The 15,776-nt window shown below is 38.6% G+C and overlaps 1 long non-coding RNA gene across 2 annotated transcripts in view; it reads right to left on the bottom strand.

Moving 5' to 3' along the window:
* LOC107984620 (uncharacterized) overlaps positions 1 to 15,559 on the bottom strand; it is a 41,289-nt gene extending 25,730 nt beyond the window's left edge. Inside the window, exons 1-3 of one of the 2 annotated variants that reach the window (XR_001749917.1) lie at positions 15,461 to 15,559; positions 14,105 to 14,153; positions 10,985 to 11,093 (exon numbers count right to left, since the gene is read on the bottom strand). This is a non-coding gene — a long non-coding RNA (uncharacterized LOC107984620). The remainder of the gene's footprint in view (positions 1 to 10,984; positions 11,094 to 14,104; positions 14,154 to 15,460) is intronic. The other variant, XR_001749918.1, reaches the window with a different exon arrangement.
* Between the last annotated feature and the right edge of the window lie 217 nt (positions 15,560 to 15,776).

The following is a 15,776-nucleotide window of genomic DNA, read 5'->3' on the forward strand; positions in this document are numbered from 1 at the left end:
AAAATATAGCATATTTTTACATAAAAATAGGCCATTCTAAGAGAGTAATTAAAATACTGCTTTATTCATCTGAGTCCTCACTTAGGGACTCCTTATTTTAAGTCACTCTGGACAATCACCTGATTCTGTTTCTACAGTAGTTCTGTAAGTCCCCAAATCATCTCTTTTCAGCTATCAGTCCTGGCTGAGTGTCCACTCAATAATCTTGGCATTCACAATATCATTTGTCCAGATTCCCTCTCCTACCTTCTCCCGGGTTGAACTGCTTCCTTCCTTGCCTAGGGCACCCTGTGAACAGTTTTTGTCCTGGTTTCTGTGTCTACACTCCACTCTGCATGGGTAGGTGGATAGTTATTTTAAGGTAGCCTTTTATACTCACCAAAATACTTGGATCCTGCCTTTTCCCCATTGTTGTTCTTACAATTGTGTTTCTTCCTTGAGCCTGTGAGCTTATCCTCACCATGAAGGCACTTGCTTGTAAGGCACCTCTCTTCACACCACACGCAGGAGGGCAGGAAGGTGGCTTCTTTCTCTAACTTCCCTGACAAGAGAAGAACTGGCCAGCATGGGCCAGGAGGCTTGCAACAGGCAGGGCACTGAAACAGATGGGATACCTGAGAGGAGGCAGGAGCCCACCACTTGAGGAGTCACAAGAGAGGTGAGAAAAGTCCAGCCCCACCTGTGGCTAAGAGGAAGGGCTAGAGCAGCCTCAGGAGCAGTGAACCAATTTCCTCTGTCTTTTCTGGGCATCGAGGGACCAACAAAGACAACACCCATGCTCAGAGGCTATAAGTAGCTCTGGCACAGGGCTTCAGAGCAGTTATATTAGTGGAGACAATCAAAGGTTTAATTTTTTTTTTAATATCATATAAATAAATGAGGAATCTGGCCTTCTCCTCCAACATCTTCCTTGGTGTCTCCCCCTTACATGTTCTCATTTGTTCTGGGAAGGACATCAAGCACAGGTGACAACCCTTATCAGGGACAGGGTGGGGGTCATACCAGCAAATTGAAATGCCACATTCACCCAGACCTTGGAGGAGAAAATACAATTGCTGCCTCTCACCCTGAGGAGGACATCAGCCAGGAAGTACCAGCTCCCTGAGACAGAAGCAAAAAGCCTTCCCTGGCTTAGAATCCCTGTGAATCCTCCTGGATTTCCTCATTCCCAGAGGGCAGAGCAATGACAGTAAAATTAAAATAAGAGAAAATGGAGAAGGGATTGGTTAAAGGGGTGGTGGTGTCCTGCATGGGGAGGAGGTGTGGCTACAATCCTTGCATGTGCTTCTGTACATTTTTCCCCTTTTCCTAAAGCAGAATGATGTACAGCACTTGGACGAAACTTCCCTGTAGATAAAATGACACCCAGTGGTCCTGTTGGAATGCTGTCTGCTATCTCTCAGATTTAAAGCAGGTTTCTCTGCTCTCCAGGTTTGTGCTTCTCTTGATTTAAAATAGTTACAGTGCTGGGCTGCAGGTGTTTGATCTCATGGTATTTTGACTCTGTAAATATGTCTTGAATTTGAAGGGAAAAAATCCACACAATATTTGCCTAATATTTAAAATGAGAAGTGAATAAAAATTAAAATAATTTGAGGTGGGAGCCCAGCAGAAAGCTTTCCTTTGTGTTATGTCTATTCTTTCTCCCTCCTTCCTTCCTTCATTCCTACCTTACTTTATTTCTTCCTTAATTGTTTATTAGCTGAACAACAATTTGTTTAATTTTTATTCACTTCTCATTTTAAAGATAGAAATAGCAAGTCTAGAATAGCAACCTGGATAGCTTGCTGCTGTTTTGAGAGTAAATATGTTTCAATTAAGAAACATATTAAAAAGGTAAAGAAAATTCCTCTTTTACAAAAAACAAATTAAAACTGGGATTTAATTTGCTTTTCTTTTTCAGCAAACTTACAGTTGTCTGTTTCTGCAAAGTATATTATTAATAGTGAAACTGTTTTTAAATCCAATTTACATTGTATTTAATATAATTACCACTTCATAGCTAGAGTTTTAAATCCGAAAATATCTGTATTCAGCTTGATGTTTGATTTTAATACTTGTCCATTTATAGTCAATTCTCATTATTTATGGTAGTTATGTTCTATAAAGTTGTCACCAACACTGAATTAGTGAATACTGAAGCTTTGCTCCAAGGGGAAAATAGGGTTAGGTTCCTGTTGGTCTCTGGGCGTGACATTTTTGTCAAGCAATCTCAGCTCTGGCTGCTCTCACTGCAATTGGGGACCCATCTGCCTGTGCAGACATCTGCTGGGAAGCACACCTGTCTGAACAACCAGGGCAGTCTTCTAGACTCAGGACCTTGGTCAGTGTTCCCATACAGCCCCAGTACCCTCTTTGCATCTTCCTCGAGTCCACCTGAGCAGAAAGTCACATCAACCCCAGAGCCTTCTCAAGGCTCTCAGCAAGGCTGGGCAAGGGGTATCCTCTAGTGCTGTGATGACTGCAATAATGATCTTGGCCTCAGGAAACACAAATCAGTCTGATTAGAATCCCTGGAGGCCCTCTGAACAAGGACAGGCACAAAGACAAACCATGAAGACTCAAATAAATACCTAATCCTTCAACGTGTAGACATTGTCACATGTCCACAAGTCTCAAGAACATTCAGGGAAATGTGACCTCACCAGATGGGCAATAACGCACTAAAGCGCTATCCTACAATAATGGAGATGTGTGATCACTCAAAGAATTGAAGACAACTGTTTTAAGAAACCTCAGCAAACTTCAAGAAAACCATTTACTGTGGGGCCTTTTACTGACTTTCCTAGAAAGAAAAGAGCCTAGTCCCTGTGGTGTTGCTGCAAGATGCTCATTTTTCCCTCCCATTCTCTTTCTCTGAAGTAACTCAGTTACCCATTTTGTTCAATATTATTTTTAAAATAAGAATTTCCCAAATACTATTATCTATCTCTCTTGGTCTCCTTCTCTCTTTCTGTCTTATAGGATGACACATTTGGTTTTCTAAATAACATCTCTACTTTAATGTCTTGTCCATTCATTTTGTTATCAGATACAAAGGTTTTGTCAGGACCCAGCCCAATGTCCCCATGAGCATCACAATTAGATCACAAACATAAAACTTCATTACATCGTTATTCTTCTTCATGGTCATGGGCTATGTCACATACGTACCTTTCTTTCCTTTCTTTCTTTCTTCCTTCCTTCCTTCCTTCCTTCCTTTCTTTCTTTCTTTCTTTCTTTCTTTTTTCTTAATGGGGTCTTGCTCTATTGCCAGGCTGGAGTGCAATGGCATGATCTTGGCTCACTGCCTGGGTTCAAGTGATTCTCCCACCTCAGCCTCCTGAGTAGCTGGGACTACAGGGCACGCCACCAAGCCCAGCTAATTTTTGTATTTTTAGTAGAGACAAGGGTTCACCATGTTGGCCAGGATGGTCTCGATCTCTTGACCTCTTGATCCACCTGCCTCAGCCTCCCAAAGTGCTGGGATTACAGGCGTGAGCCACCACGCCCAGCCTATTTCTTTTCCTTTTCAGTCTTATATATGTAATTGTATTTCAAGACTCAAACTTTCTGCCTGTCAGTGTTTACTCATTTTCAGGACTTTTTTCTCAGCTAAGAAATGATCGAGAACTCCTTCTTACCAACAATAACTGGCAACATCAAAACTGTCTACCAGCTTGCTCACTTTCATTGTGAGCTAACATACCTTTCTCTCTATCCTAAAGTCCTTTCCCTCCTTCAACGTCAGGCGCTCCTTCTCTTGAATAAAGATGCAAACACTTTACATGACTTAAAATTGACCTCTTCAATAGAGTCTTTCCAGATAAACTGCATCTCATTCAAGATCTCATAATAACTTCAACAATTGTTTGGTGGAGGACACAACCCCCAAATTATTGTGTGTACATTTTTCTGGTGATATGCTTATGTATGTGTTCCTACTAGAAAAATATCTCCAGATAAGGAACATCTTTATTTATTTTGCTATTGGTACCACGTACAATCTTCTCTTTGATTTTGTTTTTGAGATAGGGTCTCACTTTGTTGCCCAGGCTGGAGGGCAGTGGTATAGTCACAACTCACTGCACCCTTCACCTCCTGGGCACAAGCAATCCTCTTGCCTCAGCCTCCCAAGTAGCTGTGACTATAGGCAGGCACCAAAATGCCCGATTTTTAAAATTTTTTGTAGAGATGAGGTCTTCCTATGTTGCCTAGTGTAGTCGTGAACTTCTGGGCTTAAGCAATCCTCCCACCTCAGCCTCCCAAATTGCTGGGATTACACTGCACCTGGCCCCCTAAAACTGCTAAAAGAAGATTAGCAGTATCTTCTTTTTAGAGATGAAATAATGTGACACAAACTACAGATGAAATAATGTGACACAAACACTTTGTGCAGGAATAGCAAGTGGTTACTATGTTCTGTCCAACCTCCTGAGCCACTTTGGCCTGTGTGATGCTGGTGCTCTATCCCTGCATTAATGGGAACTATCTTCATGGGAAAGTACCATCTACCTGAATCTGTAGTACAAATTACCTTGGGTTGAGAATCATCAGAGTATACAATTATTAAGACAATTTATGTAAACTTGATAAAAATTCAGGGTTTAAATAAACATGGATGTATAACCTATCATTTTTAGATGATAGATACATGACAGGAAGGTAGGTAGGTAAGTATATACAGACAGAAAGATACACAGACAGACAGACAGAGGGGCAGACAATCCTACTGAATTTTAAGAAAAATAAAGTACAATATAGATACATAAAATAAACCTAGAAAAGGATGTATTGCATTTCTGTCACCATCTAAGCCAAGGAAATATAAATTTAGTTTTGTAAGCTTAAGTGAAGAATGAATCAGGCTTCATCATACAATGTTTGTTGATTTTCTTAAGTACACATTTTGTGCCAGATACTACGTATGCTGAGAGACAGTCCTCCATGCCTCTAAGGCACACACTGTCTAGCAGGGGATAAAATAAACTATAATACAATGTGTCAAGTGCTTTAAGTCATAGAGTCAGAAACTTGATTGCAGGTTAATGGTTGATTGGGAAGAGACAAAGTGAGTCTAGACCATTTTTTTCAATGTGTTTGGTGAAGACCAAAAGGTGTAAAATGAAGTAGTAGAATAGAGAGAAAGGAATGTTCTTTTTTCTTGATTTTTAAGTGAGGTAAATGAGATGGTTTGTAGGCTGCATGGGAGGAGGTAGTGAAAGAAGGGATGGAGAAGTTATAGGAGTGGGGAAATGGGTGGAGAGTGACACAGTTGTTGGAGGAAGGAACGAACAAAGGAATGAGCTAACTGGATGGAGAGGGGAAGGAAAATGCATCTAATTTGTATCTCTGAATATCAGCAAGAACAAAACACAAACCACTTCAAAACATTATTCTGCTTTACATGGAGGCAGAATAACTCATTTCTTCCTGCTATTTGCTTAATTCATATTCACAAAACACCATAATGCTTTAATTGCCAAGGCATATCCTGCTGCTTCTTGCTTTTGTGCCTTTCTCGCCACTACTTTCCTTGCCTAAATATTCTCCCATCTACCCTTCAAGCATGCATGCCACTTCTCAGGTAACCTTCACAAAAGCAGAAGAAATGAGCATGGGTATCTAATCACCACACCCTCCCTAAGAGAACCAAACATATAAAATAAAGAAAAACTTCTATTAAGCCTTCAGACTACATTCTTTTAGTTGTAACAAAATCTTATCTCAAGAAATTATGTCAAGAAAATAAACGAACAAATGTGTAAGTAAAGTAAATAAATTAAAAATAAATGCTTATATTAAGCATTTTCATGGTGTTGGACCGTAATGACACCAGTAACTGAGACAATGCTATTAATCTTACTTGTTCTACCTTCTACACAGGTGGCAAGTTCTCTGTCGTGCAGTATGACCTTTAGTTACCAACTGGTGTCCTCTACTTACTCTTACATTCTGTTTCCTCTTTACTTAGTCTGTAAGGCACCACATCAAAACTGATAGAGTTCTGATTCTTCTTTATGAATTTTCAACCAACTATTGCAAGGCTATCTGGATTATTTACTTAGATTTTCTTAGTTCATACTTGCAAAAGAGATAAATTGGCTCAACTCATTTTATTTTTCATGCCACCATATAGATTGGTATTCAGTCTATAAATTTATGAGTTAGTTTCAGACACCTCTAGTCCAAACAGTTATGGCAATGGGACCAAAGTCATACGATAAAAAATACAATAACATGTAGATTGCTAAAAGAAAAAAAAAAGATTCTATGCTATTCCCATTGAGCTACTATTGAATTTCTTCACAGAACTCGAAAAAACTACTTTAAATTTCACATAGAACCAAAAAAAGAGCCCATATAGCCAAGAAAATCCTAAGCAGAAAGAACAAAGCTAGATGCATCACACTACTTGACTTCATACTATACTACAAGGCTACAGTAAGCAAAACAGCATGGTACTGGTACCAAAACAGATATATAGACCAATGGAAGAGAACAGAGGCCTCAGAAATAACACCACACTTCTGCAACCATCTGATCTTTGACAAACCTGACAAAAACAAGCACGGATTCCTTATTTAACAAATGGTGCTGGGAAAACTGGCTAGCCATATGTAGAAAACTGAAACTGGACCGCTTCCTTACACCTTATACAAAAATTAAATCAAGGTAAATTAAAGACTTAAACATAAAACATAAAACCATAAAAACCCTAGAAGAAAACCTAGGCAATACCATTCAGAACATAGGCATGGGAAAAGACTCCATGACTAAAACACCAAAAGCAATTGCAACAAAAGCCAAAATTGACAAATGGGATCTAATTAAACTAAAGAGCTTCTCCACAGCAAAAGAAACTATCATCAGAGTGAACAGGCAACCTACAGAATGGGAGAAAATTCTTGCAATCTATTCATCTGACAAAGGGCTAATATCTAGAATCTATAACAAACTTAAACAAATTTACGAGAAAAAAACAAACAACCCCATCAAAAAGTGGGCAAAGAATATGAACAGATATTTCTCAAAGGAAGACATTTACACGGCCAACAAACATATGAAAAAAAGCTCATCATCACTGGTCATTAGAGAAATGCAAATCAAAACCACAATGAGATACCATCTTACGCCAGTCAGAATGGCAATCATTAAAAAGTCAGAAAACAACAGATGCTGGAGAGGATGTGGAGAAATAGGCATACTTTTACTCTGTTGTTGGGAGCGTAAATTAGTTCAACCATTGTGGAAGACAGTGTGACCATTCCCAATGATCTAGAACCAGAAATAGTATTTGACCCAGCAATCCCATTACTGGGTATATATCCAAAGGATTATAAATCATTCTATTATAAAGACACATGCACATGTATGTTTATTGCAGCACTATTCACAATAGCAAAGACTTGGAACCAACCCAAATGCCTATCAATGACAGACTTGATAAAGATAATGTGGCACATATACACCATGGAATACTATGCAGCCATAATAAAGGATGAGTTCATATCCTTTGCAGGGACATGGATGAAGCTGGAAACCATCATTCTCAGCAAACTAACACAGGAACAGAAAACCAAACACTGCATGTTCTCACACATAAGTGGGAGTTGAACAATGACAATACATAGACACAGGGAAGGGAACATCACACACAGGGGCCTGTTGCGGGGTAGGGGACAAGGGGAGGGAGAGCATTAGGACAAATACCTAATGCATGTGGGGCTTAAAACTTAGATGACAGGTTGATGGGTGCAGCAAACTACCGTGGCACATGTATACCTATGTAACAAATCAGCACGTTCTGCACATGTATCCCAGAACTTAAAGTTTAATAAATTTTTTTAAAAAGAAAAGCTTTTAAAGTATACATTTTGAAATCCAATCGAAAATTTTAGAAAACAAAACCACACTGTACTAAATAATTCCTAGGGCAAAGAAGAAAACAAAACTAAAATTCCAAACTATTTAGAAAAATAAGGATAATGGGTAACCTCTGGTTCCCAACAGACAAAGAACTAGCTTGGACTGTTGAATTCTTCTGAAAATGTTTTAATTATGAAGCAAATAGTATTGAAAGGAGAAACCTTGAATCCAAAGTACTAATCTATGAGAATCTCTTACAGGAAAACAAAAGAGTAATCTTCTGGAAACTTCCACCTGTACAAAAAGAAAGAGCGCATCTCTGTTTTTTTTTTTCCTTAAACTCACCAAAAGACGTACAAGCTAGCACTTAGGTTCACCACACCTCCTTACATATTACAGAAAGTATAGTTATAGCCTCAGGGGAAGCTGAGCTCATAGGCAAAAATAGCTAGACAATAAGGAATATGTGAACAATTGTGTTTTACAAAGATGCACACACCTATATATTTATGCATTCCCATATGCTCATCTTACAATGTAATTGACATCCCTCCCACCAAGATATGTGGTCTATGTTCTTTCCTCTTGAATTTGGGCAGACTCCTGCCTACATCAAACAATGGAGTAGAACAAAAGTGAGGCTATGTGACTTGCAAGGCTAGGTCAAGACAAGAACACAGGTACAGGTCTATAGACTACAATCCCAACTACATAGGCGGAGGTTGGGGGCATAATGGGAGGATCAGTTGAGGACAGGAGTTCCAGACCAGCCTGGGCAACATAGCATAGCAATAGCCTGTTTCTTTTTAAAAAAAAAAAAAAAAAAAAAAAAAAAGAAAGGAATACAATTCTGCCGGGTTCGTTCCTTCTCTCTCTCTCTCTTTCTCTCTCTCTCGTTCTCTCTCTTTCCCTCAACAAATTGCACCATACGCCCATCCACGGAGTCTCACCGTGTTGTGAGGAATCTGAAGCCACATAGAGAGGTCACATGTGGATTCTTGTAAACAGCCCCAGCTAGGCCTCCAGGTAACACCTGTACCAACCACCAGAAATGCAAGTGAATGCAATTCACATGATTTTAGTCCCCAAGCTTCAAGCCTTCCAGCTGGGGTCTCCAACAAGGTGGAGTAGAAACAAGTTATCTCCCTGTACAGTGTCTGAATTCCTGACCCACAGAAATCATGAAAAGGAAAAAAAAATTACTGTTTCTTAAACCCACTAAATTTTAAGATAATTTGTCATTAATTTGTTTGTAGCAATGTATAACTAATACCAAGTGCATTTACTATAAAGAAGAGCTTTATTACATAATGTAAGAATAAGAATAAGAATTAAATTCTCAAACTAATAGAACAGGTTAGTGGTCATATGAAACAGGAACTCAAAGCCGAAAAGAAAAGCCAAGTAGAAATACTGAATATCGAATATTCATCTCTTATCCCGTCTTAGACTGAATACGATAGCTGAAAACATAATGCAATAAATGAATAAATTCCAGAATCTATAAACAATATGTTGATGCCAACATATACATAATAGAAATCCCAGAAATAACAAAGAAATAGATGAGAGAAATACTTGAAGGTAATTATGACATATTTCCCTGAATGACAGAGTGATTAAAGACCTTAAATTCAAAAATCTATACAATTAAAAATGGAATAGTTAAGAAAAGAAAATTCACTCTATATATGTAATAGCAAAATTTAAGAATATCAAAACTGTAAATAATGGATGATTTTTGCTTCTTGTGTTCTTCATTGGTTTACTGCATTAGGTTTGTGATTAGAAAAAATATTGGAAAGGTTAGGAGTCACCTTTCCCAGAATCCGTCCCTACTCAGCTCCTTCTGAGGACACATGAAATGTCCCTACTTGGGATTCCCTAATATCCTTTCCACATCTCAGAAATTGTTTTTACCACGCTGTGTCTCTCCACACCTATTAGTGGTGGTGATTGGTGATTATTAACCAGAGTGACACATCAAAACCTCAGGGAAGCTGTTTCTATTATGAGTGATGTGTTTCTTACTCTACTTTCCCAGTTCGCACTGCAGGGCTACTGAATCTGAATCCTAGAAGTGTATACGATTTTTTAAAAATACACCATGATTTACCTTGGTTAAAACCACCAAAATAGAGGGACGGTACTATGTATTCCTTTGTCTCCCTAGGACTTACGCAGTGCCTGCCATAAAGAACGTGATCAGAAAAATGTTTGTTGAATGAAAGCATGATATATATATGTACATTATTTCTAACATGTACAAGCTAATGACATTTGTGTCTCCAAAAATCACAGCAATTTGTTTTGCAGTCTGATAATTCAACATCATTTATTAATCCTAACATAGTCATCTGTGTGTTCTAACACTGTTATACATTATTCAGTTAAGAATCAAGCTTTATATTTTTAGTAGAAAATAGCTGGACGTGGTGGCATGTGCCTGTAGTCCCAGCTACTTGGGAGGCTGAGGCAGGAGAATCGCTTGAACCCGGGAGGTGGAGGTTGCAATGAGCCAAGATCGTGCCACTGCACTCCAGTCTGGCTAACAGAGTGAGATTCCGTCTCAAAAAAAAAAAAAAAGGAATCAAGCTTTATTCATTATTGACATACTGTCTAGGAATTTGGTCTAAATTTTTACTCTCTAATGCTAGGTATTGGGAAACTTAAACTGCAATGTCTCCTGTACATCTGCATTCAGAGTTAGCTAAAATGACAATTTTTTAAGTCTATGAACTCGATTTCTCACTTTTTCCCGTAATATGATAGAAGTTTCTTGTTAAAAAGGTCACTAAAGTTGGGATCTCATAAAGTGAAAACAGATTAAAATTGTTTAATGTATCAGGAAACTAATAACTTGTTGTTTCATAAAATTTCAAATGACAGTAGTGAATAATGTCATCATATGTGGAAGATTCTCTAAAACAACTGCTACCTTTTGACTATCTTTTTTGGGAAGAATCTACTTATGAGTCTCCACCCACAGTGATGCTTTTACTTTTAAAATGGTTAGAGTTTACAGAGTACTTTCCCATATATTATCTCATTGGGACATTACAGCAACCTCATGAGGTTTATACAGCAAGTATTACCATTTTTTCTACTTTACAGATAAAGAGCTTCAAATTCTAACCTGGTAAGTGTTTGTCTCAGAGACTCCCTGATGAGCTGGGATAGAGAGCAGGTCATCTGACTCCCCAGATGGTGCTTTCTCCATCACTCCATAGTGTTTCCAGAGGATTCTGCTCAAAGTAGCAATGGAACATAGGCAGTTACATATCTCATTGTCCTATACTCTCAAGTTCACTACACACTCCTTTCAATTGAAATTTTTGGGAAGTCACTGATCATGTGAAATGGTGAAAGACAATAGACAAATAATACAATATAATATTGAGAAAAGAGATGGCCAGGCACGGTGGCTCACACTTGTAATCCCGGCACTTTGGGAGGCTGAGGTGGGCGGATCACAAGGTCAGGTGTTCCAGACCAGCTTTGCCAACATGGTGAAACCCCATCTCTACTAAGAATACAAAAATTAGCCGGGCATGGTGGTACATGCCTGTAGTCCCAGCTACTCAGGAGGCTGAGGCAGGAGAATCACTTGAACCTGGGAGGTGGAGGTTGCAGTGAGTCAAGATTGCACCACTGCATTCCAGCCTGGGCAACAGAGTGAGACTCCATCTCAAAAAAAAAAAAACAAAAACAAAAACAAAAAAAAAAAACTATTCATATTGTTGCAATGTCCTTTCTATGTATTATATTCAAATGAAGAAATTTCTTCTTTTCACATGAACTGAATATGTCCCTTCAAAATATATATATTGAAATCCAAATCTTCAATGTAATGGTAATTTGGAGGTGGGGCCCTTAGTGGGTACACAGATCATGAGGGTAAAGCTCTCATGAATGGGACTAATGCCCCTAGAAAAAGATACTCGAGAGCTTGCTCCAGCTCTCTGCTCTCTATTCTGTAAGGATACAAGGAATCAGCCATCTGCACACCAGGACACCAGATCTTCTGGCACCTTGATCTTAGACTTCCCAGCCTCCAGAACCATGAAAAATAAATTTCTGTTGCTGAAGCCACCCACTCCATGGTATTGGGTTATAGCAGCCTGAATTAAGACATTATAATTTTAAAAATACTTAAAACTTAAAAACCCAATTAACATCTTTAGAAAGCACAGCCAGCTCTAGACCATTAGTATTGGCATTTCTGTTGAACATTTATATGAAACACTTAGCATGTGCCAGGAACTTTGATGTTTTCTATAAATCCCACTTAATCTTCATATCAGTCTTATGATTATATGCCATTTACATTATTCCAGCTTTTGCAAGAGGTAAATGCAGTGCACATGTCTAACCGTCATGCTCTGTGCCAGCAATAATCATGCAAATATGTTAATCATGACCCCATGCCAAAACCAGTTTTTCATAAAAAGTGAACTGTCCATGATTCAGGTAGAGAGAAGAAGAGGGAGGTGGAGTGCACAGCTAATGGATACTTAGCTTCCAAGCCCAGAGGGTGAATGTGGAAATTCATAGAGGAGTTCATCATAGGACTTTGTGTTGTACAAGTGGAAGAAAAATATTTTCCACTTACCTAACTCACAGGATGTAACAGAGATTAATGAGTGTCAATGAAACATTGAACCACTTAGATGAGAGCAATAGATCTCTTCAAAAAAGAAAAACTGTAAGTTAAAGATTCATCTATATTCCAAATTCTTTCATAAAATCTATGTAACTAACTAGATATGCAAGAGGGACAGATTAATGATCCTTTAAGAGCTTTTCTATTTCTTGCTTTGAGTTTCTAAATTATATGAATTCAGGCTTAATTTCCATTTTTAAGATAAATTCCAATAGAGGAGGAATGAACAGCTGATTCATTCTGGTTCAGTGGATTACTTTTCCATTAGATTTTATATTTTTCTGGCAGCCATTAAGAGTGTTCCAGGATTGTGATGTCAGATAACATATGCCACGCAGATTCAACACCACATCAGTGGGCCAGCAATTCTTACTGTTCCCTCCTCTCATACAGCTGAGCCCAAAATGTAGCTTCCATCAACCTCAAAACCTCCCACTGATTCATTCTTGGATTTTCTCTATGAAACTACAGAGCAGAACAAGAAATGCCTCGGGCTCAGAAATCTGCACACCCATTTCAAACCAGCTCATACACCTGGGTCTCCATAGATTCTAGGCCTATGCACAGAAGAGAAAAGCCCCTGTGAGAATCAGCAGAACTCCCATATTAAACTACTTTCCCCTCCTTTTATATCCAAGATGAATCCAACAACAATATCAAGGGTTTCTACCTTAGCCTGCTGCTTTGACTTCACTTAGAGCTCTTTGGCAAATATACTGGGAAGATCCAGATTGAAAATGCCTCTCCCCACCCTAACCTCCGGAGCAGTGAGTCTCAATGGAATTTACATGCAATTTCAATATTGGAAACAGAATTGAAGAAGTAGGACAAATTCATTCAATATTCATTTCTTGAGTACATACCATGGGCCAGGCACTTGGCTCATGTTAAGTATTTTGTAGATTTCCATCAATAACTTGAAGGTTAAATTGCTTCAACCACAGGAGAGACATTAAATCATGCACGTGTAGTTGAGGTGCAACAAGAATGATTCAGCATACTTAAAACATTGCCATTCTAGGCCACGTGCAGTGACTTACGCCTGTAATACCAGCACTTTGGGAGGCCGAATCAAGAGGATTGCTTAAGCTCAGGAGTCCAAGACTGGCCTGGGAAACATGATGAAACCCCATATCTGATATATATATATATATATATATATATATATACACAAAAAAAAATTAGCCAGGCATGGTGGTGCCAGCCTGTAGTACCAGCTAGTAGGAAGGCTGAGGCGGGAGGACAACTTGAGCCCAGGAGTTCAAGGCTGCAGTGCATCATGATCAAACCACCACACTCCAACCTTAGTGACAGAGACTACGTCTCAAGAAAACAAACTAAAAAAAAAAACTGCCGTTTTGAAAATGACCATCTAATTGTAAATGGTATGGCTGTTATATCATGAAATAGAGGGAAGAAAGCAAGAAGAGGCATGCTCTTTGCTGCCACTGTTGATTCATTCAAATTCTCTCTCATCAAAGGGTAATCATTCACAATTTGATATTTCAAACAAGTTAAAACTTTATAAAGTAATAGATAATCTCTAAATGCTGAGACTTTAAATTCCTCCTTCCAAGACTTACACAAGCTTACCTTTTTCCTAGCGTGCGGCCAGATGGTCAATTAACAGAAGCCATGACTCCTAACCATGGAAGAGTTAAGATAATATATTTTTGTTTGTTAAAACCAGGCTGACTTAAAAGAAGATAGGACTTCCACAGTTAAACCAAAAAAAGATAAACTTGAAAATATAGTTATGAATAAATATAGAGATTAAGAAGTGAGCAAGTCTAAGATCTTCATCTATCATACATCTTCCTCCAGCATGAGTGATTTCATTTGCTTCTTAAATAGATAAATACAAAAACGGCATTTTCCCTTGGCAAGAAAGTAACTGTTTTGTATTATTTACCTACAATGCATCTGTGTTTCTAAAAAGAACAGTAAATACATTTCTGGAGCAAGACATGTTTCTGTGATAATGTGAGTAATGCTTCTTAAACACTTTGGAGATTATTAGAATGCTTTCCAGAAGCTGATATTGAACTCAGTCAGTTTAGCAAGAACACAAGATAAAGATAAAGAGATGCTCTCGGCATTTTTCACTAAACTATTTGTAGAGTGCTGCAATTGGATGTCTTTCAGAACAGTAACCACCAGAAGGAGAAGGGCCAGGACTCGTTCCAATCCACACTGAAAGATATTCAGGCCAGACTGCTTTCTTCAGGAGGGCCCTTTAAATAAACAACCCAGTTTGAGTGACATCTGCCACCCCAAATACTGGGTTAATTTTCAGACTGCCCTGAGAAATTCACAATATGGCTGTTGCAGCATCTTCTAATTGGTGTTTAAACCTTAACTGGGCAAGCACTTCACAACAATGACAGAAATAAAATAGCTAATGATTAGGTCTTGTACATAACTTCTTCTAAGCCAAGCCAGATCTGAGAGAATCATGGCTTAAAGCAACAGTCTTCTCAGACCTCTCAGATCACATAGAACTAAGTGGGGTGGTGGTAGCATATACGTATTCATCTTTCTAAATCATGATTCATTCATTCATTCAACAAATATTTGTTAAGCTGCTATGGCATGCCTTCATGGAACTGATATTCTTATGTAGGGAGGTGAGAGAAGCAGTCCCATAAGTGACAAATTAATTCATACTCAAATATGGTAATTTGGTTGATTTAATATAAGTGCTATAAATGTTATGAAGAGAATAAGAGAGTGGTGCTAATTTGAATGTGGTGGTCAGAGATCTTGCTAAACAAGCACCACTTAAGAGGTGCTTAAGCAGAAAGAATAACACATAGCAAAGAACAGGGGAGAAGAGAGAATGAGCTTGACATTTGCAAAAAGTAGAAAGCAGGTGTTATGTTAGCTTAGAATGCTGTAACAAAATACCAGAAAACGGTACGGTTTAAATAACAGGAATTTATTTCTCACCATTCTGGAGGCTGGAAACCCCAAGATCAAGGTACCAGCCAGCCTTTTGGTTCCCCCTTGAGGGCTCTCTTCTTGGCTTGCTCATGGTTGCCTTCTTGCTGTGTACTCACTTGACAGAGAGAAAGAGAGGAAGTAAGCTTTCTGGTTTCTCTTCTTATAAGGGCACTAATCCCATCATGAGCACTCCACCCTGGTAACTTCATCCAAATCTAATCCTTCCCAATGGCCGCATCTCCAAGTACCATCACATTAAAGGTTAGGGCTTCTACATTTAAATTTCGAGGGTGACACAATTGAGTTCATAGCAGTGAGTATG

Source organism: Homo sapiens, chromosome 13 (assembly GCF_000001405.40).
Source record: "Homo sapiens chromosome 13, GRCh38.p14 Primary Assembly".
NCBI lineage: Eukaryota > Metazoa > Chordata > Mammalia > Primates > Hominidae > Homo > Homo sapiens.